Source organism: Homo sapiens, unplaced genomic scaffold (assembly GCF_000001405.40).
Source record: "Homo sapiens unplaced genomic scaffold, GRCh38.p14 Primary Assembly HSCHRUN_RANDOM_CTG9".
Classification (NCBI taxonomy): domain Eukaryota; kingdom Metazoa; phylum Chordata; class Mammalia; order Primates; family Hominidae; genus Homo; species Homo sapiens.
In genome coordinates this window covers 20,082-46,589 of record NT_113889.1, presented here as the reverse complement: position 1 = coordinate 46,589, position 26,508 = coordinate 20,082, and the positions used below count along the sequence as shown (strand labels likewise).

Sequence of the window (26,508 nt, the reverse complement as noted above, 5' to 3'; positions counted from 1 at the left end):
CTATGCCAAAAAGTAGTATAGTAGTTTCTTAAGAAACTAAAGGAACCTGAGTCCCCAGGCCTGCAGTCTGGGCCAAGGTCACTGGCCCTGGATCAATCAGGATGGGGTTCAGGGGCCTTCCTGCGGCCATCCAGTGTCCAAGGTGCCCTTTGGTAGCCTCGTCTGCCCCTCAGCCCCTGAGCACGTCCCTCTGTCCCTCCAATCCCCCCTGTCATGAGACATCTGTCACAGAGCCATGCCCTACCTCCTGCTTTCTGGAGATGCCAACTGCCTGGGGTGCTCTTAGCCCTGCCCTCCCTATCTCTGGGTCCTGACCAAGGTGCTCTAATGGACACCCCCTGACCCAGGTCTCAGAGAGCTGCCAGCACCCTGGGTCCCTGAAGCTGAGATCCAGCAAGACACATGTGGCCTGAGAGTCCCACTCTCTGGCTGGCAGAACCCAGAGGTGGGAGCACACTGGAGTGTCCTTCAGGGTGTCTTCACCCCATGAGAGGGCTGGGGGCTTTGGGAGTTTGCAGCTGGCAGGAGTCAGGGCCCAGTCCCCTAACTCTGATGCGTCCTTGATTAAATCCTGTGCCTCAGCCTGCAGGGCCTATTGTGGTCACCAGGTGAATGTGTTCCCTTAGTCTGGGAGCCCCAAGTAGGCAGCACCCCCTGCCAACGACTTCAGGGCACTTGGAAGTGGAGGCTGAGAGGTCTCCCACTTCGCAGAGCTGGGCTCTGGCCCAGAGGCCTTCTCCTTGGCTTAGGTGGTCTCTCGGGCTCCTGGGGCTGCAGATCAGGGACAGAAACAGGGAACTCTGCTCTGCTATGCCTACAGAGAGGTGCCCAGTGAATGCAGGTTCCAGACAAAAGGTGGAGCCTGGCATCCTGCCCTGCATGGGCTCCAGCCTGCTGCCATCTGGGGAAACTGAGTCATGGCGAGGCTCAAGGATGTTTCTCAGACCACACCAGTCCCTGAAGGTCCGCTGGCCTCCCAATCTTGACGGACAGTGAGAAGAGGTTCCCAGGCCACCTGCAATAGGTTCTGGCTCGGCCTGGGTTGGGGTAAGTCTCCCGGCTGCTGTCCTCAAAGCCCCATCAGGAGGCTGTGTCAGGCCAGGCGCACCGTGGTGACAGCAGCATGGACTGAGGGTTCTGGCCACGGGAGAGGTCAGGACCGGGGAAGGTCAGGTCCAGGAGGAGGGCACTGGCCGGCACATGGTTGTGCTGGAGAGACCTGGGCAGCGTGGTGGGAATGGCCCAGGAGGAGCCCCGGCTCCTGTGGCTGGAGTGAGGGTGCGGGCTGTGGTGGGAGAGGAGGTGAAGGTGGAAGGAGCAGGGGCCCAGGGGCCTGTGCTGTAGGAACGGCATGGACTTCCTAGCGAGGACTTTCTGGTGCGGGATTCTCAGGGAAGAGGAGGCCGGAGGGGCTGGGGTCCCCAGGAGTGCATGCGCCAGGCAGGCGGAGGGGAGGCCGAGCCAGGAGCCGCAGGCTTCTCACCGCCAGGCCAAAGCCGCCCTTCGCTGGCTGCGTGGGGAATCGCGCCTAGGCTGGGGCTCCCCTGGCCCCAGGTTTGGGGGACGCCGATGTGTCCTGGGGTGCTTACTGCCCATCCAGCCTCCGCCAGGCAGCATGGCCCTGGGTGGCTTTCAGGGCAGCCTCCGCAGCACAAGACCTGCCTCTGCCCTGTGGGGCAGATTTGGGCATATGACTCTGGACACTTATCCAGAGGCTGAATTCAACTCCCCAGGGAAAAGCACACTCAGACTCCCTCCCTCCCCGCTGTGCCCAGCCTGAGGGGACACTGGCTGGGACTTGGGAGGAGAAGGCCAGAGGCCAGGGCCTGGCTCTCAGGCACTAGGTCCAGGAGAAAATGGAGCGGAGTCCCTGCAGGAACTGCCCCAGACTGCCCCTGAGGGGGCCTGGCCTGGGACCCTCCCTGTGCTACCAGGCTGCTGTTGGGGCCAGGAGGGCAGGGAGAGCAGCCACCTGTACGGCATCAAGTAACACTATCACTCAGCACACCCAACATCCACACAACAGCCACAGCCCTCTGCCCTGAGGGGGCAGGTGGGCAGAGCCTCCTCTGTCTTGTTCACCCTGAGCGTGGAGCTCCACACAGGACAGGATCAGAGAGCAAACCAGGAACAAATGGATGAATCAACGAAGGGGCCAGGGCAGTAGGTCCCCACCCACACCCTGAACCCTAAGGGTGGGACACAGAGGCTGGAGACGGGCTGGCCCTGGGATCCTCTAAGTGACAGGAACCCTTGGCCACTGTTGATTGCCCCGAGGTGGGGACAGGGATGGTGGGGCTGGGGCTGCCTGGCCCTTTAAAAGGGCAATTCTGCCCGCCGCCCTGAATGCCCCCTCCCCTAGCCACTGGAGAAGAGATCCCGTTTCTTGGCAACAGGAAGCTCTTGGTTTACTGTGTCACCCAAGCGACTGGGAGCCACGTCCTGCTCTGGGACTGAGCCTTTGGAGCCGACCGATGACTGCACTGGGCTGACCGCAACAAGCTGACCACACACACTCCTCACTCCCCTGGCCCTGGTGGGCGGCAGACACCATGGTGCAGACGGATGTGCTCCTACCAGAGCCGGCACCGCAGACAGTGTCGCCCTGCGAGCTGCCCTGCAAAGAGTATGACATGGCCCGCAACACGGGCGTCTACACGTCCTCCGGCCTGGCCACCGCCAGCTGGAGGTGTGGTTCCAGAACTGCTATGCTCGCTACCACCAGGCCTTCGCCGACTGCAACCAGTCAGAGCGGGAGCTGCAGGGGCACGAGAGCCAGCAGCTGGCCGCAGAGACCCAGGCGCTGGCACAGTCGACACAGCAAGACTCCACGTGCAGGGTGGGCGAGCGACTGCAGGACACGCACAGCTGGAAGTCGGAGCTGCAGCGCGAGGTGAAGGTGCTGGCTGCGGAGACCGACCTGCTGCTGGCCCAGAAGCAACGGCTGGAGTGCGCCCTGGATGCCATGGAGGTGCCCTTCTCCATTGCCACTGACAACCTGCAGTGCAGCCAGTGCCACCAGCACGCCAACCTTGTGCATGACCATGTGGAGACGGAGCTGCTGAAGGTGCCAGCAGCCTTGGGTGGCCAGGACTTGTGGGCACAGAGAGGAGGAGCCCCCGGCAGTTCATGTGGACAAGCCACGTGGCTGCTGCAAGCACACGGGAGACCAGCCCTCTATGCGTGAGACACCTGAGTCCCGAAATCTGGCCCCTTAGTGACAGGAGGCAGTTTTGCCCCAGAAGGCCCCTGACTTCCAAGCAGCTGTTTCTCCTCTCCTCCTCCAATACCTTTGAGTCCTGGCACAGTCATCCTGACCCTGGGCTCCCCAGAGACCCTCCCTGATTGGGACAGTTGCTCCCGAGGTGGAAACCCAGGTCTGGGCCAGCACTGCGGGTGTGGACAGGTAGGGCGGGATAGGCTGGGAGCCACTGCTCCCATTCATCCTATACAGAGCCGGGGACACGAAGATCTGCACCCACAGGTCCCCTTCTCCTTGTCACCTGTAACTTTCCAATCCAGCCCAGCTTGTCTATGGGGCAACCCCATAGGGTGAGAGAGTAACTCAGTCCTGGCCCTGATGCTGGCTCTGGAGAATTCCCTGAGCTCTCAGAGCCTGGGGCCTCCGTGAGAACCACTACAGGCCTGTAGACATTTGTGAAAGATGTGGGGTGGAGGCAGCTGGTCTCCTGCCATACCCCCAAACTCAGGCAAGAACCCTTGAGTCCCTCCCTCCCTTCATGCCTTCCCTCCTCCCTCCCTTCCCCTTCTGCAGGCCTATCCCCCTGCACCCTCTCAGTGCCTCAAGAACTGCTGCAGCTCCCGCAAACCCTCTGCCTGCAACAAGGGTGCCTGCGAAGTGATGGAGACACTGACAGTGCAGGAAGAGGCAAACCCAGGGACAGAGGGGTGCAGGACTCGGGCCCTGGCACACAAGGAGGTAGCTGGTGGTCGAAGCAAAGACCACAATCACAGGGAAAAAAGGCTTGTTCCTACACACAGAAAATTAAACTGTCCAGGCAGTAATAAGAAACATAGGGTCTTCCTCCTGTTCTTGGTGTGAGGATGGTCTTTCCCAACACAGAGCCCTGAGGGGCAGCCTGGGCGGGCATCTGGGCCCCCAGAGTTTGGGTCCTTGGGGGCTGTCCAGAGGCCAGGGGCAGGCCAACATTCCTGGGTGCACTGAGTGAGCAGCAGTGATGACTCTTGAGGCCTGGGGCGTGGGAACTGCCACTGAGGGACCTTCCCAGCAGCCCATAGAAGGCCCTGGAGGAAAACAACCCACTTACAACGCACCAAGGAGAATGCCCAAAAGCCCAGGATAAACCCAGTGAGAGAGCAGAACTTGCACAGTCAGAGCTCAGGCCCGGCATTCAACTATTTCTGGTTGCTCAGGTGTTGACCAAGGCCTTCAGCAGCTGGGCCTCCTGGGATCCTCACCAAGGACCGGATCTGGTGCTCAGGGCGTCTCCTCCCTCAGGAAGCTGAGCCCATCCGGAACATTCAGGAGCTGCTGAAGAGAGCCATCGTGCAAGCAGTGAGCCAGACCCTTGGGTCGAGGGCTGCCCAAGGGATGACTCCTGACCCCACCCACGGCTGGTCCTGGGGCAAGGCATTGAACGACAGAACCCTGAAGCTCAGAGCCGGCAGGGGCTGTCCCAGGTCACAGTGGAAGCACAGGGCTGGGTGGGGGAGGTTCCAGCCCAGCCTGAGTTTGAATGGCCAAAGCCCAGTGCCACAACTGATCTGCAGCCTCCCAGCATGGGCGGCAGCTCTTCGTCACTGCTGAGCACAAGGACAGCCGGCCCAGAGCTCCCTCCTGAAGCGGGCATGAAGGCCTAGCCTGCAGCATGGAGGGTCCCCAGTGGGGCCCTCCCTGGCCACACACCAAGGCCCTGCCCCACCCCGCCCCAGAATGAACCGAGAGCACACAGAGATCTGCGAGATGGACTGGTCGGACAAGGTGGAGGCCTACAACCTCGACGAGACTTGCGGGCGCCACCACAGCCAGAGCACCGAGGTGCAGGCTCATCCGGCACTCCACCACCTTCCAAGAGATGGGGGCCCCAGCTCTGTCCCCGTGCTTGCCCTGGCTGTGGTCTCGCCTCCCTCTGCCTGGGGGCCCCAGCGGCGCTGCTTCCCCCAGCCTGGCCCAGAGGCCCTCGCCCCCGAGGGCACTTGGGCAACTGTTTGCCCTGGCATGAGAAAGCGTGCAAGACCTCCTCAAGTGCCCAGCGCGTGCACAGCCTGGTTGCCCGTAGACAGGACAGGGTGGGATGCGGTCAGTCCCAGGCGCCGGCAGGATTGCATTTCCACCCAAGGCCAGCAGAGGGAGCACGACCACCGCCCACTTGAGCATGGCAAACTCCTGGGTGCGAGAAGCGGACGCGGGCGCTGGGTACTAGGGAAGGGGGGCTGCGGGAGACAGAGGTGCTGCAGAGGGGGCCTCGGGGGCAGCGGTGCTGGGAACGGGGTCGCGGGGGCAGGAGGGGACTAAGTGCCCGGGGTGGGTAGGGTGTGGGTGGACTCAGGGGAGTTGTGGGCGGGGGGCACTCGGAGGCAGGGAGCTTGGGGGACTGGGCTTCGTGGGTCTGCACGGGGTGCATTGGAGTCCATGCAGTTCCTCCAGGAGCATGGGGTGCAGACAGGGAATGGGGGCGCGGCAGGGCCCCCAGCCATTGGCAGAGCCTCCCTGACCCTCTCCTGGCTGTCCCCAGCCCCGCAGCGCCTCCACCCCAGAGACCCGGACCAAGTTCACACAGGACAATCTGTGCCACGCCCAGCGCGAGCGCCTGGACTCGGCCAACCTGTGGGTGCTTGTGGACTGCATCCTTCGCGACACCTCCGAGGACCTGGGACTCCAGTGTGACGCCGTGAACCTGGCCTTCGGGCGCCGCTGTGAGGAACTGGAGGACGTGCGGCACAAGCTGCAGCACCACCTGCACAAGGTGGGGCACCCTGAACCCCGAAGACGGCTCCGGCGCCTGCCCACCACTCTGCCCCCTCTCATCACCTGGCCTGGGCCCTCAACACCTTTCTCCTCTGTCCCACTTATCCCGAGGGACCCCAGAAGCAAGTGTCACCTCTCCGTAAACCTATGTAAAACCAGGTGACACTGGGTATGATCGCAGTGTGTTGCAACCCCCATGACTGAGCAGGAGGAGCTGTGGGGAGGATGGAGGCAGGAGCTGGTCTGGGGAGCATTGACTGCCTGGGAGGTCCCCAAGAGTCCTGGCCTGGCAGGCAGGGCTCTGACTCTAGGGCCTCAGCATGGCCTTTACCACCTCTGAGTCCCCAGTCCTTGAGCAGGATTTGGGTCCTGGTGACCACCAAGGATGGGGGTTCTTGGACCAGAGCTAAGAGACAACAGGCTGCCTGACTCTCCAGAGCCCGCTGGGGGCCCTGTGCACATTGTTCCCCTCATCCACGCCTCCCCAGAGCCACTGGTCAGGACCACCCTCTGGACACAGCCCCAGGAGCTGGGTAGGACCAGACTGGTCTCCACATTCCATATGCCCGGGCATGGGGGCACAGGCCCAAGGGGCACTGTCCTGTCTGCAGATGCTGCGGGAAATCACAGATCAGGAACACAACGTGGTGGCACTGAAGGAGGCCATCAAGGACAAGGAGGAACCTCTGCACATAGCCCAGACCCGGCTGTACCTGCTCTCACACCGGCCCAACATGCAGCTGTGCCGCGAAGCAGCCCAGTTCAGGTACTGCCTGGGCCTCTGAGGCAGTCCCAGGTGCCCCCGTCCACCTCCTCGCTGTGACCCTCTCCAATAAACACTCCAATCTCCACACACACATCCCCCACAGGTGCTGAGAGGGGAGGGAGAGTTTGCGGCCACACACAACACGCAAGCACGCCTTAAACACACAGATATAGACATGACACTGGGCAGGTCATGGGTCGGGGGCCTCCCAGTGCCAGGGACCTGTGCCCACGTGGTCTCACCCCACCCTGTGCTACCTCATCTTCCCGGGAGGAAGCTCCTTCAGACAAGGTGAGCTCCTGGAGGCCACGGGGACAGAGAGGCCAGAGAGGGCCATTCCCTGCTGCCTTGAGGGTGCTGTCCCCACCTCTGGTGGAAAGTATGACCTACGCCTGGGCTACAGGCATAGATGGGCCGTCCTTTTGTTTCCCTTGTTAACGGATGCCTGGTGGCCCCTTCTGAGCCTAAGTACCTTTCTTCCTTCCCTGCCCCTCAGTTCCTTCAAGGAACTGGGTGCCTCCTTCCGTCAAATATCAGGAATGAAAAGAACTGAGCCTGGTCGGCTGAGGCCAGTCCTGTCCTGTCAGGGTCGAGATTGCACGCGGGTCACTCATTCCCACTGAGGCCCGCGCTCCCTGGGAGGACCCTCGTAATTTATGCTCTGCCCTAGAGCCGCTTTCCTGGTGGGATCCTTTCATGGCGTCTTCCCAGGACCTCCTGCCAGCTCCCATTGGGAGTTTTGGGTCCCCTGCACCCCGGTAGGTGCATACTTCTGCCCTCCCCAGCCCCAGCTCACACACCCAACACCCCCAAGCTGGTGAGTGAGGTGGAGGAGCTGAACATGTCCATCACAGCGCTGTGGGAGAAGCTTCTAGAAGGGGAGCAGTCCCTTTGCAACCTCGAGGACATCCACATGAGCCTGGAGAAGGATGTTACCGCCATGACCAACAGTCTCTTCATCGACCGCCAGAAGTGCATGGCCCATCGTACTTGCTACACCCCCATCCTGCAGCTGGCTGGCTACCAGTGAGCAGCGGCACGGTGCTTCCCCCCAATCCCCCAAATAAACAGTGCATTAGCTTTCTGCACAGTGTGTGTGTGTGCCCGGTGGGACCTCCAGTTGCTGTCCATCTGAACTGGCCTTTGGGTCCCCTGTGAGGCTGGCTCTGCCTATGGACTCGTCATCCCAACAGTTGGAGAAGAGGGGTCAGAGCTGACGACGAGGAATCCCTGTGCTTCAGAGGACAGGACATGCCCAGGTGGGGACTGGGGCTCCACAGCACAGCTCAAGTGTGGGCGCAGACCGTGTGTCCCGCTCAGAGCCAGGCCACCCAGCTCCCCCTCCCCAGTTCCCCACCAGTGCTGGCTCCTCCATTCCCTCACCAGAGTCTTAGGGCCTTGGGACATCTTTGCGGCCTCTGCATCTCCCCAACTCCTCCCCCTGCACCTCCAGGCCCCCAGCCTCAGCTCACATACCCCTGTGACAGTGCGCTTATTCTGCTAGAAGCTGGTCTGGCTGCTGGGTGCACTTGCCGTGGCGATCCTCCAGGCAGGCCCCACGCAGAAGCACCCACTTCAGCATCCCCTCTCTGTCCCCAATGACAGTGTGTACCTGAGCTCAGCCCAGCCCAGCTCTCAGTGCCCAGGACCCCTGAGGCTCAGATGGGCAGATGGGCAGATCGGCAGGGGTACATGGAGTTCCCTTCTGGGTGTGGGCCTAGTGTGGGGAGAGGGGCCTGAGAACAGCCCAGGGTGGGCATCCACCTGGAGAGCATGTGGGTGGGGGTCCCATCTGCAAGATCCAGGCCCACAGGGCTCTTGTCTCAGCCTGGAGGGGACCGGGAGGTAACAGCCCCTTCCCCCCAATCAACCACAAGGACACCCAGCTGGGCAGCTCTGTGAGCTGGGTGGGGTCAGCCAGGTGGAAGTTGCTGCTGGGGGTTGCTGGGAGGAGAGGCATGGGCTGCCTTTCACGTGGGGCTAACTCAGACCTCTCTCCCCGACCTGCTAGGACCCCTCCAGAGGCCACTGCTGAAGACGAAAAACACTACTGCCGTTCACTGGGGGAGGTGATAATGTTGACTGCAGGCAGTTGGCTCGGGGAGGAGCCTTCTTGGGAATCCTACTCAGCCTGGATGGGGAGAAATCTGGGAGAGGCTGTGTGTGAGCAGGCAGTGCAGGGAAGACTTCCTGGAGGAGGGAGCCTGGCTTCCACCGCACAGGCCAAGGCACAGGGGCTGGGACCAGGGAAGGAGGTGTCTGGGCTAGGCCTCTCGCTTTATCTTGAGCTCTGGTTCACTGTGATAGGCTCGTTGCTAACCAGGCCCGGCCCTCCCCAGCTCCAAACCCGACTGCCAGGCAGTGAGGATTCTTCTTCCCACCCGGCCACTCTCAGAGATGCAGACACAGACCCTGGAGGGTGGGCCCGAAAGCTTCCAGGACCTTCTCTCCAGTGCAGATTCAGGGGGAACTGTCGTTTCCCATCACCACGGAAGCCACACTACTTGTCACAAGCCACCAGTCACTACAGTGACACCCAGGCCCACTCTTATTCTTTGGGGTGCCATTTAAATTCGCCCTGGATGCTGTTACCATGGGGCTTTGACAGCCAGGAGCAGAGGCAGTGGGACACAGCAGCCAAGTCTCACCTGGGGGCTGCAGACAGTTGGTGTCCTGTCCATGTAGCTCCTCAAAGCTGTTCCAGGACACCAGGCAGGGGCTGAGGCAATGACCTGCCCAGGGAATACCAAAGAACCATCTCCCTGCAATCACCCCCACCCAGCACAGGGAAAACCTGCAGTGAGGCAGATGGTGGTGAACTCAAAGGCCCCTGAGCTGGGGGAGGTTGTTGGGTGGGGGCTTCACACCCTGCCACCCTAGACACGATGGCCAGGGAGGGGTCAGCTGTGGGAGGGTGGTGTCTGCAGTGCCCTCCCTGCCTGCTGCAGGGGGATGCAGGTGGTCCAACACCATCCTGGGCCTGGTCAGCCCTGGTGCCAGCCTCAGCACAGTAGCGAGGAGTCCTCCAAGAGAGCCAGGAACCTCCATGGGAGGTGGGTGGGGGTGAGGACCCCCTATGCTGTGCCCACCCCAGCCTCAGAGGGAGCTGCTGGCACTGTCCCCTCTTGAGCAGCAGTACTTCTCCCAGACTTTAGGGAAGTAGCCACTAAGAAGCCCAAGAAACAATGGCTCCCTCCCTGCAGGCCCCACACTCAGGCTCCCATTATCGCCTAGGCCCAGGTGGTGCTGCCCAGCCCTGTCGGGTCCCCATCAGTCTCAGGACCTCCTTGTCCCACCCTGGAGGGTGTGGCTGATGGAGAGCTGAGTGTGGAGGATGCCAGGGGAGGGGGCCTGGGAGACGTATTTCATCTCTGATGCCGGATGGTGGCACCAGGCTAGGAGGCACCGAGCTAGGTGCCATCCTGATCACATGGCAGGTTTTAACTCCTTCAGGCCTCATGACCGCCTCACTATCACATGCATTTTACAGCAGGGAAAACTGAGGCTTGACGGTCCCTGCGCCCACTGTGCTCCCACCCCAGGGACAGGTTGATGCAGGGGAGGCTAATGACAGCAGTGATGGAAGTCACTCCCAGCTAGAGAGAGGCCAACGCCCCTGGCCCACAAACTTCATGACTCAGTGCAGAGCCAGCACCTGGGGCTGCTGGGCCAGAGCCCTAAGGGCTGTCTCCTCATGCTGAATTCCCTGCTGACCTCCAGATTGTCCAACCCCCACCCCTGAGGCCATCTGGACACTGGCAGCTGCAGCTAACCCACAGGCCCCTCTGTGGAGTCCCCGTTGGCCTGGCCTTGAACTCCTACCCATGGTGGAGATCAGGTGTGGCTTGCTCCAGGAAGCCTCTTGGCTCCTGGGGATTGGGAGAGTGGCCGGAGGTGATTCAGACCTCCAAAGTGGGCAGGAAGGTGGATGCCCACACTGGGCTGTTCTCAGGCTCCTCTCCCCACCCTGGGCTTCTAGCACAAGAATAAAGAAGGCTCCAGCAGCTCTTGCCTAGAAGAGACTATGGTACCTCCTGTCCCCGGCAGTTCAGGGAGGGAGCGGTTGCTGGGGGCTGCTGGCCTGTGGCTGTTACTGACCGGGTCAGGGTGGGGATGGAGACATCCAGGCCCTGCCATCTGAGGGGTGCAGGTGGGATGTGGCCCAGCTGCAGCATAGCCCTCTCCCAACCCCAGCCTGTCCTGACCCTCAGTGAGCCCACATCCTAGAGTCAGAGCTGTGTTCTGTCCTCTGTGGAATCCAGTGGAGCCTGGACACAGCTGCCCCCTCCGTGTTGGGGTCGCCCTCGGCTGTCCCATGTCGGGGTTCCCTCATCTGCCCCCTGTGCAGTGGCTCCTAGAGATCACTCTCACAGGCATCAGATGCATGGCTCAAGGTCGGCGCCAGTGCCCCTGGTGCAGTGCCCACTGTCCAGCCCACACGGCCACCCTGGAGGGCTGCAGTGGAGCCTGCGGTAACAGGATCCTCACTCCTTCAGACCCCCACTCCCCTCCCACACAGGCTGGCCACTGGGCTGTGGCTCATGGGCTGCCTGCCTTGTGCTAAAAATGGAACCCCAGACTTTCTGGCTTTAATAATACAATCCTGACCCCCCAGGGCCCTCCCCATTTCGTGGGAGCACCCCAAACATCTTCCATGGGAAAAATAGGACACAGAAACCCAGGCATCCAGGAGCCCAAGGTCTCACACCCAGGGAGCGAAGGGCTTGCCAAGGCTCTTACCCCAGTGCCCATCACCCCTGCCAGCATCCCAGATTACAGTGGGGGAGATACCATTGGGTGTCCATTGGGAGCCAGCCCCAGGAGCACAATGTACAGCAGCACTTTCCTGTCGCCATGGCTATGCTGCAGCCATGAGTGACCAGGGCTCTTTCTGTCCAGGAGACACCTGGGGTCCCCGAGCCACAGTGGCTCAGCCACCAGCCCTGCCAGCTGCCTGCCCAAATGGATGCTCCCCAGGCCACCCAGACCCTAGGGACTGGAGAGAGCTCTTCTCCTGTCCATTCAACCACCCTTCAGCCTCCCTCCACCCTGCCCTGCACTTGGGGAGTCTCTGTGACCAAACCCCCACACAAGGATCTCACAAGAATGCCCTTCTCTGTTCAGGGGCAGGTCTTCTGGCATCAGGGAGCATTGAAGGAAGCACATGGAGAGGGGGACTGGGGTTCCCCATGACTGTGGCCCAGCAGCCCCCCACACCTTCCCCCACAGGGGATGCTCCCAGACACTTCTGAGCTGCCTTGGGTGCCCATTTCACAGGTAAGGAAACCAAGGCTCAGATCCAGGGAGCTGCAGTATGTGCGCATCCACCTGTCTTTCTCCACGAGCCCCAGGAGCTCAGGAGCAACAATGGGGAGCCCCTGCCCTGCTTGCCCCTATCCTGTCACAGGCCCACAGTCTCCCCTTGGGGATGTGGCTGCCCACCTGCAAAGCTGTGTCCTCATCACCCAGGTCTGAGCCGTGCAGAGCTGGTTCCAATGGCTGCAGGCACCACAGTCGCAGAGCTGGAAGAAACAAGAATCCTCCCCAAGAGTCTGCAGAGGGAGTGCATTTCTGCCCACACCTTGATTTTGGACTTGTGGCCTCCAGAACTGTGAGAGAATAAATTCCTGATGTTGTAAGCCATCACTACAGCAGCTCCTGGACACTAATATTGCTCAATTCGTCCAGGCTCCTCTCTCTGTTTGTTGTTGTTCTAGGTTTTTCTGAGACAGGGTCTGGCTCTGTCCCTCAGGCTGAAGTACAGTGGCACAATCATAGCTCACTGTAACCTCCATCCTCTAAACTCAAGCCATCCTCTTGCCTCAGCCTCCCCCACAGCTGGGACTACAGACAGTGTTGCCATGGCTGGCCAACTTTTAAATTAGGTAACCCTTCCCAATAACTTTCACGATTAGTTAACATCTTCTACATTCCTATGTATTTTCCCCTTTTTAATACAAACACATGCCCATTAAATAAGCAAAATAGGAAAAAAAAAATTTAATCACCCAAAACCCTACCATCTACTTACCAGAGAGACAATAATGGCACAGGGATATACTGCCAAATTACATTAATTTTGGTAATCCAAAGCAATAGAAAAATCTCCAGTTTTCAATTTATTCTTTTTAGATTTCTAATCAAGAAAACCTATTTTCTACACTAAAGCAAATATATACAAAAGGAAAAGACACACTTATGAAGCAAAGGGATGAACTGGAGTCCTAATGTTATGAGAGGCTGGTAGTCATTCATTTCTCATCACTGAGGTATTTTCAGAAAATATCCATGGTTCCCAGAACTTTAACAAGCACAATAATCCACTCTTAGATACTTGAAAGTCAGATAAGAAGACATCTATCCCTTAACTAGTTGTTATACACTCTATGTAAATAAAACCATATAATTTAAATTTCCTCAATTAATTCTCACAGACAGTACCCAACCTCACATCACCATGATCTCTGACATGTCAATGTTTTATTGTAAATCGTGACAGACTATCTACATATATACTCATGATTTACAATTTGAGATTGTCAACCCAGCCAGTAACCTACGTAGCACTGAATTCAAATACCAGAAAAAGGACCCAGATTCCCTCACCACCTAGCAGAGCTCAAGTGAGTTACACAGCCTGGTAGGGAATGGGGAGTAATTAAAAGGTTGTAAGCAGGTACTACTATAGTCAGATGAGTTTTTGACAGGTTATTCTAAAAGCACTGAGAAAAGAAAACTGTTGTAGTATTCCAGATAAGATTATGTGGTCTGTAAAAGGACAGTGTCAAGGATATAGAAAAGAAAAATCAAGGAATTTCAAAGGGTAAACTGGATGTGATTATATAGTACCACATCAAATGAACATCAGGCTCAAAGAAGGCACGGGGGAGCAGGAGGCTGCTTTCCCCAGGTACTCTCTTTCCCAGGCTTGCCCAGCAGTCCTAGCAACTGACTATATATATATATATGGAAACCATCATTCTGAGCAAACTATCGCAAGGACAGAAAACCAAACACCACATGTTCTCATTCATAGGTGGAAATTGAACAATGAGAACACTCGGACACAGGATGGGGAACATCACACACCGGGGCCTGTCGTGGGGTGGGGGGAGGGAGGAGGGATAGCATTAGGAGATATACCTAATGTAAATGATGAGATAATGGGTGCGGCACACCAACATGGCACATGTATACATATGTAACAAACCTGCACATTGTGCACATGTACCCTAGAACTTAAAGTATAATAAAAATAAGAAATAAAAAAGTCTTCCTCAAGTTTATCATCAAAAAGTGCTACACATGATTTACAAGTATTTTCTTCCATCTTGTGAGTTGTCTTTTCACTTTCTTGATGGTGTCCTTTGAAGTGCAAAAATGTTTAATTTTGATGAAGTCCAGTTCATCAATTTTTATTCTTGTTGCTGGTCTCATATTTAAGAAAACTTTGCCAAATTCAAGGTCATGACAATTTACTTCTATGTTTGCTTCTCAGGATTTTATAGTTTTAGTCCTTACATTTATGTGGATTAGCTCAAAATGGATCCATTTGATCCAATTACTTTGCACCCATAGTTTTTGTATATGGTGTTGGGTAAAGGTCCTACTCCAGGTTTTGCATATGTTTACATATCTAGTTGTCCTTGTGCCAGTTCTCAAACTTCTTTCCCCACTGAATAATCTTGGCACTCTTGTCAAAAGCAGTGGTTATATATGTACGGGTTCATATCTGACTCTCAATTCTATCCCACTGGTCTATACATCTATCCTTCTGCTAGTATTATATTGTCCTGATTACCATTGTCTTGTAGTAAGTTTTAAAGTCAGTAAGTATGAGTTCTTCTACTTTGTTTCTCATTTTCAAAAGATTATTTTGGCTATTCTTAGTCCCTTGCAATTCCATATGAATTTCAGAGTCAGCTTGTCGATTTTACAGAGAACTCATCTGGGATTCTGACAGGGATGAAGTTAAATCTGTAGATGAGTTTAGGGAGTACTGCCTTCTTAACAATGTTAAGCCTTAGGTTCATGATCATGGGATACTTTTACATTTATTTAGATCTTCTTTCATTTCTTTCAACAATGTTTTATAGTTTTCAGAGTACAAGTTTTACACTTCTTAAATTTATTAGTATTTTATTCTTGTTGATGCTATGATAAATGAAGTTGCTTTCTTAATTTCATTTTCTGATTGCTCATTGTGAGTATGTAGTATTCAGTTAAAGTGTGTCAAATACTATTGATTTTTGTATATTGATCTTGAATCCTGCAACCCTGATGAACACAAGGGATTTGTGTCTGGCATACATAAGGAACAATTACAATTCTGTAATAAAAAGACAAAACAACCCAATTAGAGATAGATAATTCAAGAATGGATAAACAAACTGCAATACATGCAAACAAATGGAATATTATTCTGCAATTTAAAAAATGAGCTATCAAGCCATGAAAAAGCACAGAAGAACCCTAAATGTATACTGCTGGGTGAAAGAAGCCAGTCTGAAAAGGATACATACTACATGATCTATTATATGACATTCTGGGAGAGGCAAAATTAGAGAGTAAAAAGATTAGTAATGACCGGGGGTTTGGGAGGAAGAGGAGGTGGAGGAATGACTCAGTGGAGCACAGGAGATTTTTAGGGCAATGAAACTGTTCTACATAATACTATAATGGTGGGTACATGACATTATACATTTGTCAAATCCAAAAATCTATAAAACACAGAGTGAACCCTGAAGTAAACTATGAATTTCAGATATAAGTATCAGTTCATCAAATCTAATCAATTTAGCACAGTAGTGCAAGGTGTTAAGAGTTGGGAAAACTGGGCGGGGGCACTGTAGGGGAGCATATGTGGACTCTCTGCACTTTTCTCTCTATTTTTTCTAAAACTGCTAAAAAAAAGTCTATTGTTTTTAAAATAAAATGATCCCTAGCAGGAAAAAAAAATGACAAAAGATCTCAACAAATATTTCCCCAAAGAAGATATACACATGGCCAATAAGCATGAGAAAAGACACTGGACATTACCTTCAATAGGAAAATACAAATCAAAACCACAAGGAGATACAATTTCACATACATTATAATAGCTACAATTAAAAAGTCACACAGTAAGTGTTTGTGAAGATGTGGAGAAACTTAAATTTTAATACACTGCTGGAGGGAATAAAAAATAATGCAGCCATTTCAAAAAGTAGTTTGGCAGTTCCTCAATTAGACAGTTATATACATCTGAGCAATTCTGCTCCTAGATAAACACCGAAGACAAATGTCTACACAAAAACTTATACACCAATGTTTATAGCAGCATTATTCATAATAGCCAAAAGGGGTAAACAATGTCCTAAATATCCATCAACTGACAAGTGCATAAACAAAATCCAGTGTATCCATGTACAGAGTATCATGTGGCCATAAAAAGTAAGTACTGATACATGTCACAGCATAGACAAACCTTGCAAGCATTATGCCAAGTGAAAGAATCCAGTAACAAAAGCCCATATGATAGATAATCCCATTTATATGAAACACAGGCAATAGGGAATCCAGAGGCAGAAAGATTGGTGATTGCCAGTGCTACAACTGCGGGGGTGCAGATGATGTATGTAGAGAGACAGAATTGAAAGCTAAACGGCACAGGAGGCAGGGTGTTGTGGTCCATGCCTGTACTCGTAGCTACTAGGGAGGCTGAGATGGGAGGATTGCTTGAGCCCAGGAGTTCAAGGCTGCACTAAGCTATGATTACACCACTGTACTCCAGCCTGGGCTGGTCGACTGAGCAAGACCCCATCTCTTAAAATAAATAAATAAATAAATAGAAAGAAAATAAGCTAAAGGGCATAGGATTTTTTTTTGAGGTGGAAAAACAATTCTAAAATTGATTGGAGTGTTGTTTCCCAACATCTGTGAATATACTAAAAACCACTGAACTATATACTTCGAGTGGGTGAATTACATGGCATGTGAACTGCCAATAAAGCTGTTTTAGAAATCCTAATATTTGCTGTGCTATAACTTCAGCAAAGCACCGCAGGGCAATAATTGCAGAGCCAACCCTATCATTACAGTATGACACAGGAAAACTTAAAACTGCACTTATGATCAAGCTATATGCAGAGCATATTAGCACACCAAAAATAAATGACTACACTAAAGACCCATCCTTCAAGGATTACGGAATTTAAGTGCTGAAAAGGAGAGTAAAACTACTCTGTTTTTTTTAAAAAGGTAAGAACTCACAACTTAATTAGTCACTTGTAAAATTCTGGATTGCTAAGAGATTTTCAGATATAATTTAAAAGAAAACACACGACCAAGACAATAATGAAAATCTATACATAAATTTACTATTACCTTTAGCTTCTGAACGCACAGCCAAAAATCCATCTTCTGTCACTGCTTTAAACAAAGGTCTGACTCCTTACGTATCTCTGTCCAGGGACACTTTCTTATTGGCAGAATCCAGTAAAAGAAATGCAAACACACCATCCAACATACAAATTGTTTGCTCAATTCCTCCTTTGTCATAAAGATGAAGGATTATCTCACCATCCACTTTGGTCTGGTATTCAAATTCAAACTGGTACTGCACCTTAGGAAGCAATAGCAAAACCAAAACATTATAGACTCCTTGTGCATCCACTAATAATTTTTTATCACAAAGTTGCTTCAGTATTTCTGGAGCCTTAAAATCATTTCATGCACTTTGGTGATTTAGGAGAATCATAGCATTATCAAACTAGGGTTTGCTTCAACTCATAATTCTGCAAATTCTGTTCAACATAAAGCTGAACCCATGAAAGTTTTAGTTGCAGTCTGATAAACAGAATATAATGGGAATGTACCAGAATAGTAACCTGTAGAGGAATGGAAATTCATATTATATACATACTATGTATGTGATACATAAATATTTTATATATGCAGATTGAGTATCCCTTATCTGAAATGTTTGGAACCAGAAGTGTTTAGGGTTTCGGAATTTTTTTTTGGATTTTATATTTGCATCTACGTGAGGTATCTTGGCGATGAGATCCAAGTCTAAACGTGAAATTCACTTATGTTTCATATATCTTATACACATAGCCTAAAGGTAATTTTATATAATATTTCAAATAATTTTGTGAATGAAACAAAGTTTGTGTACATGGAACCATCAGAAAGCAAAGGTGTCACTATCTCAGCTTCCATGTGGAAAATCTGTGGCTGTCTGATGTCACTGACCATCATTTCTGACTCTGAATTTATATGCTACTGATGAGCAATCATTTTCACACAATTATTCACACATAAGTAAAAATATGACATGACATTAATACAGTAAAAAATAATAAGCAACACAGTAGCATCACCAGAATACCTGCATCAGCTGTTAAACAGCTGTATAAACAATGGCAAGCTTTCAGGCTCCACCTACAAGGCTGCGTTTTGATTAAAAGGTTACTGTACATTGTATTTTTTTTTTCTTTTTTTAGGTGAGAAGAAATATCAGGAGTTGAGCAACTAGGAGGTGAGTCCTCTGAGGCTGAGGAGGCATTCTGCCAGATGGCTTTTTATAATGTTTCTCCAGAGTCATCTGCCTCATTATCAAGGGCTTTTGTCTTGGAAGTCTCTCTTTAATTTTATAAACTGACATGACCTCTTGTTCTGTTATGAATGCAGGTAGCTCTAGTCCTTCAATATCTTCAATATCTCTATCACACATTTTCACCATGTCATCTATACCTTTACACTACAGTCCAATTTCTCCAACAGCTTGACTTTCTGTGTTCTAAGTGTTTCTACTTTTCCTTATCATTGCTGCTCGCAGGGATACCTACAGGTCTTATTGACATTTTCAGTATGTTAACACCACAGAGCAGAGAATAAGCAAAAATACACAATGAGTAATGCACTTAGGTCCCATCTGTGGGGATCCTGCCATTGGCATGTCCAGCTTGCACATGTGCCATTCTGTGACCCTTTGTGTGGGTGCTTGCATGGGGAAATCTGAGCATGTGTAGAAAAGTTATACTGCAGCTGAAGGGGGCTGAGAGGGTCTTTTTCCACTAGAGAACATCAAATAAACTGTGTGTTGTTCACCTGCACTTTGACTGGGACATCCATCAAAATCCACATGTGGTGTCATGTCAGTGCTCAAAAAGTTTCAGATTTTGAAGCATTTCAAATTTCAGATTTTCAGATTAGGGATGCTCAACCTCTAAATTTAATTTAAGGTAATATGTTGCTTGGTTGCCATGACACTAAAAAACGTGTCTTCTGCAACTGTCAACTTTTGGTTTGAGAAGACAGTATTGGCTGAGAAGTTCCTCCAGTTCAGCTTCAAAGACCTAGCTATAAAAATGTAAAGCAAAGGGACAAACATCATTTGGCATCATTCCCTGAAAAATAAATGGCTCCATCACAATAACAGATACATGATCCAAAACAAAGCTGCTTGTCCTCAGGTGAGGATGACAACGCCCAGAGCGCCCACCACTGCAGTAGCATTAAAACTACTGCTCACTGAGAGATAAAATGATGGTGGCACTTTAATAGTCTGCATGTCCCAAAGGAACAGCAAAGGGACTGTCTGCCACTGCATGCAGAGCAAAAAAGTTTGATTAGGCTACTCACCAATTCTGACACTCTCCACCATCACTGGCAAACTTTGAGGATGAAAAGTCCTTGATGTATTTCTCTTTGTATGTCATACTCACATTTTTGGCTGACATTAGACAAATAAGAGGTTTAAATCAGGTGGGAATCCTAGGTTAAGGTTAAAACATGTTTTCAAATCTCAAAAAGTAAACCTATTATGTATGTGCACGACCCATAAATACGCTTCACACTCCATCCAGCTCACTGCATAATTTGTGAACCTTTTATCTGTAAGCCCTCAATGAACTGTCCAAAAATGGGCTTTGCCTCCACTGACTATAAAGTCACTACCTGGTCACCCCTCTCTGCTCTATCAGGGATGATCTGTAACTAGCAGGTGGGGTCTGGAAACAGTCTTCTGCTGACTGTCCTGGGCTGAACTGCCTGAAGGGTAAGTCACTTACCACTTACTTTATGGTCACTTACCATAAAGCATGGAAAACTGTCATTAGCTGAAAGAAATAAACCCAGCACCTAGGACAATAAATACATGCCATACACTCCCAAATAGAAGACGAGGCTCCAATTTGTTTTCTGCCTCTTAGGAGCTTATAAAACTAAAGTTCACAATTAATGGGGAAGGGAGGAGACAGATGATCTTCATTGCCTTAGTTACAAACTTGCTTTGGTCTATGCTGATCCTGTGTTAAACTGTGAAATAGAATCTATCATCCTGGCTCTCAGAGGCCCTTGACTTCAGCCTTTTAGTGCTTTTCTTACTTATTTTCAAACCTTCACCTCTCTCACATTGAAATTTCCAACTCTTAATACCCTCTCTAAAAAACTACCCCTTCCCACCAACCACCACCTACCCCACTCTATCATCTAAATCTGTTTCAAGATATAAAAATCTTGGTAATTTATATCTTAACAAAAATTACATACTACCTTTTCAAAAAGAAAGTTAAGCCTGATTCTAATTGTGGGGTGAAAAGTTTTTTCCCTATGAAGAAATGTTAAATATCATCAAGCATCTTGAGAGGTGCTAGCGAGGGCATGGAGCAAGGAATCAAATTCCATAGGCGATTGTTTTCTCTATCTTTATATAAAAATGTCCTTGCCCCAATTAAAGCCTCCACCAGGTATAAAAAGAAAGCGTTTGGTGATATTAGCAAGCAACAGTTTCCCAAATCTACCTTGCCCACCTCTTTGGCCTAAACTCTGCAGGTAATTTATTTAAAAAAGAGAAGAGTCCTTTGGGTAACAGATGTATCACTTCCTACTCTCTTAAACCAAACTCCGATGCTGCATTTTAGATAAAAGCCCTCAAATCTGGCCTCCTGAAGTCATGCTGTCATTTAACTTGGCTTCAGGCCCCTGATATTCCCCTGCAGGGAGAGAGCCTGCTCTTTGCCCCAGCCTTTACCCCGTTCCTACTTTCTTTCACTCAGTCCCCCTCCACTCCCAGCACACCTCTGGCTGTATTTTATTAGTAGTAGTAAACTTTATTTTTATCAAAAAGGGGGTAGGGGGTATTTTTGAACTTATGTTGCAGAATACTTTATATAAGCCTAAAATATACATTCTGTTCATTAGATTTCTAGCTGCCCCAACTACATAAGCTGAGATGCTTGGTAGAAGCAATGGAACAAACTTCTCTAGTTTTACAAATATAACATTTGAATAATTTAGAACAGAAATTAATTGTTTTCAAAATATTTAACTTCTTTTAGCTTTTTAGAAAAAAAAAACACTGTCTGAGTAAAACAGGGCACTTTCTATTTCATTTAAGGAGAAAGCCAAGCTGATAATGCCATCATACCACCTAGCTTTCTCATGTATATGACACTGATTTGACTTGGAAAGAAAAAAGTTTTAATACTCTCTTCTACTTCCCACTAGCAGGAAATTCCATTCTTGCCTTTCCTTTTCACCATTTCATCTACAATCACCTAGAAAAATGATGTCTGGTGCATATTAAGACCTTAATAAAGGAATAAAGAAATGTGTGAAAGGAATTTCTTGAATAACTCTTTTAAAAATTTTGAAGAAGAAGACTATTATTAAGAGTGTTCCCGTGAGCAGGCAACAAACAATGACAAAAGCTATTATTCAGAGATAAAAATGTCCAAAACATGGTTAGGATATAACTCTCTATCAGTGCATGACAGGTATCTATCAAGAAGTCTCAGAAAAAATACCAAGAAACATCACAACCAAATGCATGAATCTTGAATGAAATCTGTCTCTAAACAAACAAATACCAGCTATAAAGATATTCTTGGTAGCACTTTGAGGGGCCAAGGTGAGCAGATTGCCTGAGCTTAGGAGTTCCAGACCACCCTGGGCCCAGTCTTTACTAAAATACAAAAAATTAGCCAGGCATGGCGACAGGTGGGCCTGTAGTCCCAGCTACTCAGGAGGCTGAAGAAGGAGAATTGCTTGAACCCGGGAGGCAGAGGTTGCAGTGAGCTGAGATCGCAACACTGCACTCCATCCTGGGTGACAAAGTTGAGACTCTGTTTCAAAAAAAAAAAATTTTTCAGACACTTAGGGAAATTTAAGTATAAACTGGATATTAGGTGGCATTATGTTTTTTTTTTCTTTTTTGAGACAGAGTCTTGCTCTGTCTTCCAGGCTAAAGTACAGTGACTCAATCTTGGCTCCCTGCAAGCTCCACCTCCCAGGTTCACACCATTCTCCTGCCTCAGCCTCCCGAGTAGCTGGGAATACAGGTGCCCACCACCATGCCTGGCTGATATTTTATTTTTGTATTTTTAGTGGAGACGGGGTTTCACCGTGATAGCCAGCATGGCTTCGACCTCCTGACCTCGTGATCCACCCACCTCAGCCTCCCAAAGTGCTGGGATTACAGGTGTGAGCCACCGCACCCAGCCAGGTGATATTATGGATTCTTAGGTTTAATAATGGTATTGATGTTATGTAGAAAAATGTCCTTATTCTTAGGAGATAAAAGCTTATATATTTAGGAGTGTCACAAAATCTGCACCATACTCTCAAATGATTTGGCAAAAAAACTGTGTGTGTGTGTGTGTGTGTGTGTGTGTGTGTGTAGAAAGAAAAATCAAGCAAATATGGCAAAACATTAATGATTATTCAATCTAGGTGCTCACTATTCTGTTCTTTTCTGTATGTTAGAATTTTTTTCAAAACAAAAAGCTGGGGAGAAGGAGAAAAAATTCTAAGCGTCAAAGAAACTGTGTAATCCCCATTTTTATCACTTTTTTTGTGACCAAGTGATTTCACTCACCATTTTATTCATCAGTTCCCTGTCTACATACTTAGAGCAAATGAGATAACATAGAATGCTTTGCAAAGTAAAAAGCATGATACAGAATATATAATATCATCGTAATCAACAAGCTCTGAAGTTTAATCACATCCAGACATCTGGCTTCTTTTTCCCTACCTTCTTATGGTTGCAGATTTCACCACTGTAACAGAGCCACATATATGGATATGTCTTCACTTAAATTGGCTGCATTCCAAACAGTGGGTCAACTACCACCAACCAGTGAAATCCAAAGCAGCAACTGGTGTATCCATTGACATTCTCAAAACAGGATGCATTTGGACCCCTGTGTGCAATCTTCATAGCACACAGACACTAAACAGAAAGGCAGTCATTGCTGCCAAACAGGACCCAAATGCCACACACAGTGCAATGAAGCTATAAGCTCCCTATGGAGAGAAAAGTAGACAAATAAAAAATATTCAATATCCAATCCAAGTCGGCATTAAATCTTGATTCCAGAAACGTGCATAAACCACTTCAAAGACTAAAATTTAAACCATCTTTTCTATAGCGATTTCCCATTTGGTTGGCAGGCATACAGGAGTAGAGAATGATTTAATTTACTTACAAGTATTCAGAAAAGATAGTGACCTCTACATTCAACCAGCTACAGCAGCTTAGCACCCAGCCAAAGCCTGCATCTCTCCCACCTTAAGATTTAGTGGTTGGCTAGAGTTAGCAGCATCCAGACCATATCTAACTCTGCATTCTATGTTTGCTTCCAAGATAAAGATACAAATGCAGGCTGGCTCCAACCTAGCCAGAGATCCCAGCCCCACTCTCTGCATCCCAAAGTCCCTCAAAGACCCGAGAGACTTTCCAGATTTCTACAGTCTCCTCTCAGGTTCCCTTGGCAGTTAAATGCCCTCTCTTTTCCTCAACTAGCTGCAGGTAGAATATAATGCGTACAACAGAAAATCACTGTAAGTGTAATATGAAGATACACAGCCCTTTTAAGCATTTCATTATATTACATCTAGCTTACTTCTAAGTGATTTATTCAGATGTGACTGAAGAAAGTCTAAAGGGAAAAAAAGCAATTTAATTTGATAAATTAAATTATCAATTATAGCCAAATTATTTGGCTATAACAAATTAAACATTTTAAGCTGACAGAAGATGCAAACATTTTAAGTTGACAGAAGATATAAAATGTTCACTATCAAAGTGTTGCAACTGATAAAAATGTTCTCAAATATTTCTGTCTCAAACTTGCATTGTTCATTAAGGAAGCAAAATAGGTGGGACATACACAGCAACAACATCCCTCAAAAAACAACTTGGCTCATTCCTATAAGCCAGGCAGCAAATATATCATCCTTACATATGTTAATTACCTTCCAATTTCAAATTCTGAACTGTGAAATAAAGGGCTATTTTATTTGGCTGCTGCCAGTTCAATATGACTGTTTTTATTAAAACATCTCTAAATTGAGAAATATTTGGTGTTTTCTAAAAAACTGCAAATTGCAGCAAATGGCCAGGTAATTTGGAATAAACACCCTACAGAACAAATATATATTCAAGTTGCATAAGTCACTTTGAGAAATCCTTTGAGGATATTTCATTTATATCTAAATGAACCACAGGCTTAGCTGGCTTTTCCGGAAAACCAGAAGCAAATAATGTATGATTATAATGAAAAACATCTCAAGCAATTTGGAAATGAAGTACCACATGTCTTATGCTGTCCCTTCCAAACACTTGACAAAACAGCCTATAACAAATTGTTTACTTTGAGATTTAGCGGGAAAATTCCATGAGATTTAAATGAGATGACTACTAATAAGCCTTCTACCTTTGACTCTATTCCTATTAAAAATGGGTTAGGAAAGTGCTTTGAAAATCAAGTGTGTTCATCAGGGAATCATTTACCTAAGTCTTCTTAACACTGCTTAGTGAATATTAAGCCTGATGTAGTAAATACATGCTAACCACTAAATTGAAGGGGAAAGAAGGAGAACAAAGAGGCATGTAAAGTACACTTACTTTTTCTAGTAGGAAAAAGCCAATTAAAACTATCACCTATTAGTTTTATTGGAATCAGTCTTACAGGAGGACAAACTTCCTACTGTCGCTACCTATTCTCAATATTTTTCTTATTTCTTCCTAAATTTCTAGAGACGTGCTGTCCAATAAATATGTGAGCCACGTACGTAATTTTAAATGTACTGGTAAGCCCCATTAAAAGAAAAGGTGAAATTAATTTTAAATATACTTAACTCAGTATGTCCCAAATAGTAATCATAGTAATAATTTTAACATGTAATAAATATAAAAAAAAATCAAGCAGCTATTCTACACTGTTCTTCCCACTCCAATGACAAAATCCAGTGTATTTAACACAACACATCTCAATTAGGACTAGCCAGGATTCCAAGTGTTCAACAGTTACAAGTGGCTAGCGCCTACTGAATTGGACACTGCAGTTTCAGTGCATTGAATTTCTATCCCACTTAGCGCTAATTAAAACTTCAACCTCTCACCTGACAATTATGCTAAGAACTCAGTAAGTAACCAACTACAGGCAGTTTCAAGCCCTACTTTACCTCTAATTACTCTTACAGCAATGCAATGAATCATGATTTAAAATTTTAAAAAAAAACTGCTGTTAAATTATTAGTCAAGCGTCCAGGGCAATGGACAGTAAAGAAATAAGTAGGTCATGGGCCAAGATGACAAAACGGTCCTTTTATTTAAAGCTATAACAATAATCTGAAGCCAGCCCTGTAAAATAGACATCCATTGAAAAAGGCATGCTAGTTCTTTTGCTTTTTTGTGTACTTGGCCTCCTGTGTCCCTAAACAGACCTCTTCTCAGCAGGGTTTGCTCAGCAAGTCACTTGTTGAGTCTTGCAGTCTACAGAGGGGGTGGGGAATGGCAGGGGCTGGCATAGGAGTGAGAGGGGAGGAGGCAAGGTGAGGGGGGCCAGGTGAGGAGGGGGGCACTTGAAGGGGAGTTCAAGACCAGCCTGGGCAACATGGTGAGACCACCGCCCCTCACCGCCGCCATCTCTGTTCTCACTCTGGTCTCACACACATGAACAAATTAAATTTAATTTAAAAATTAAAATTTGTCAAAATAAGTGAAATATTTACATGGATTATGTATATATTCATTTTGTAGAACTATAGATCCCATGTAACTGGGAACTCTTTACTCTTCTAACACAACATTTATTTAGCCACAAATAAAAGAAGACCAGTGATGTAGCCTGTACACAAAAAAGTAAGAAAACACTGGTTAGGCTGGGGCAGGGGTGGGGGGAAGAGATCTACGAAATTAAAATTTTATTGGGAAGGATCACTAATTAGAATCAGAACAATTACTGCTTTAAAGTAGTTAAGAACAGAGCACAAGAAACCCAGAGAAGAAGCAGATATGATTCAGAGCAGAGCTCACAAAGCAGATGGTATCTGAGCTGAGACTGATAGAATAACATTATTAAGGGCATTCACGGCCATTTATTATCACTTAACTGCAATGCATTTTGTATAAGTTATTTCTACTCTTCATATCGACCATGGAAAATAATACTTATTCTTCTCTTTTGAAGTTAAGGAAGTGGTAAGTGGTCTAAGAAGATAAATTAACATACCAACACCAAATAGCTCAAGTTCAGTGACTCAGGAGTGCCCACATCTCCCCAAGAGGTTGCTTAGCAGGCAGACGAGGTAGAGAGCCCTTCCAAGAAGTGACAGTGAGATGTGAAAGGTCTCAGTGTGTCTCTGAGAACAACAGAAACCAGTAAGTAGACCAAGTGGGAAAAGCCACGGAAGAGGCAGGGATTTCCTCTTAAGATAGCAAGAATAAACAGAGCAGGGCTGAGGGAAGCCATGGAAAATGGGCAGAATACCATGCATTTAGTGAGAAAAAAACAACTTT

At 48.7% G+C, this 26,508-nt stretch overlaps 1 long non-coding RNA gene and 1 pseudogene across 5 annotated transcripts in view; one reads left to right on the top strand and one right to left on the bottom strand.

Moving 5' to 3' along the window:
• The window catches only part of LOC100233156 (tektin 4 pseudogene), a 58,668-nt pseudogene extending 50,868 nt beyond the window's left edge, over positions 1–7,800 (top strand). Inside the window, exons 3-5 of one of the 2 annotated variants that reach the window (NR_037871.2) lie at positions 5,718–5,948; positions 6,562–6,716; positions 7,571–7,800. The product of NR_037871.2 is annotated as a tektin 4 pseudogene, transcript variant 1 (transcript). Of the gene's footprint in view, positions 1–5,717; positions 5,949–6,561 lie in introns of both variants that reach the window. The other variant, NR_037872.2, reaches the window with a different exon arrangement.
• On the bottom strand, positions 4,287–26,304 carry LOC101927088 (uncharacterized). Of its 3 annotated transcripts, XR_007068495.1 has the most exons (5): positions 26,222–26,304; positions 22,738–23,009; positions 17,082–17,319; positions 12,159–12,238; positions 4,287–4,513 (listed from the first exon to the last, which is right to left on the bottom strand). It is a non-coding gene; the product is annotated as an uncharacterized LOC101927088 (long non-coding RNA). The 3 variants fall into 3 exon arrangements; XR_949092.4 differs by lacking the exon at positions 26,222–26,304 and having other exon boundaries at positions 22,738–23,053; XR_007068496.1 differs by lacking the exon at positions 26,222–26,304 and having other exon boundaries at positions 4,287–4,510; positions 22,738–23,053.
• Positions 26,305–26,508: the final 204 nt, after the last annotated feature.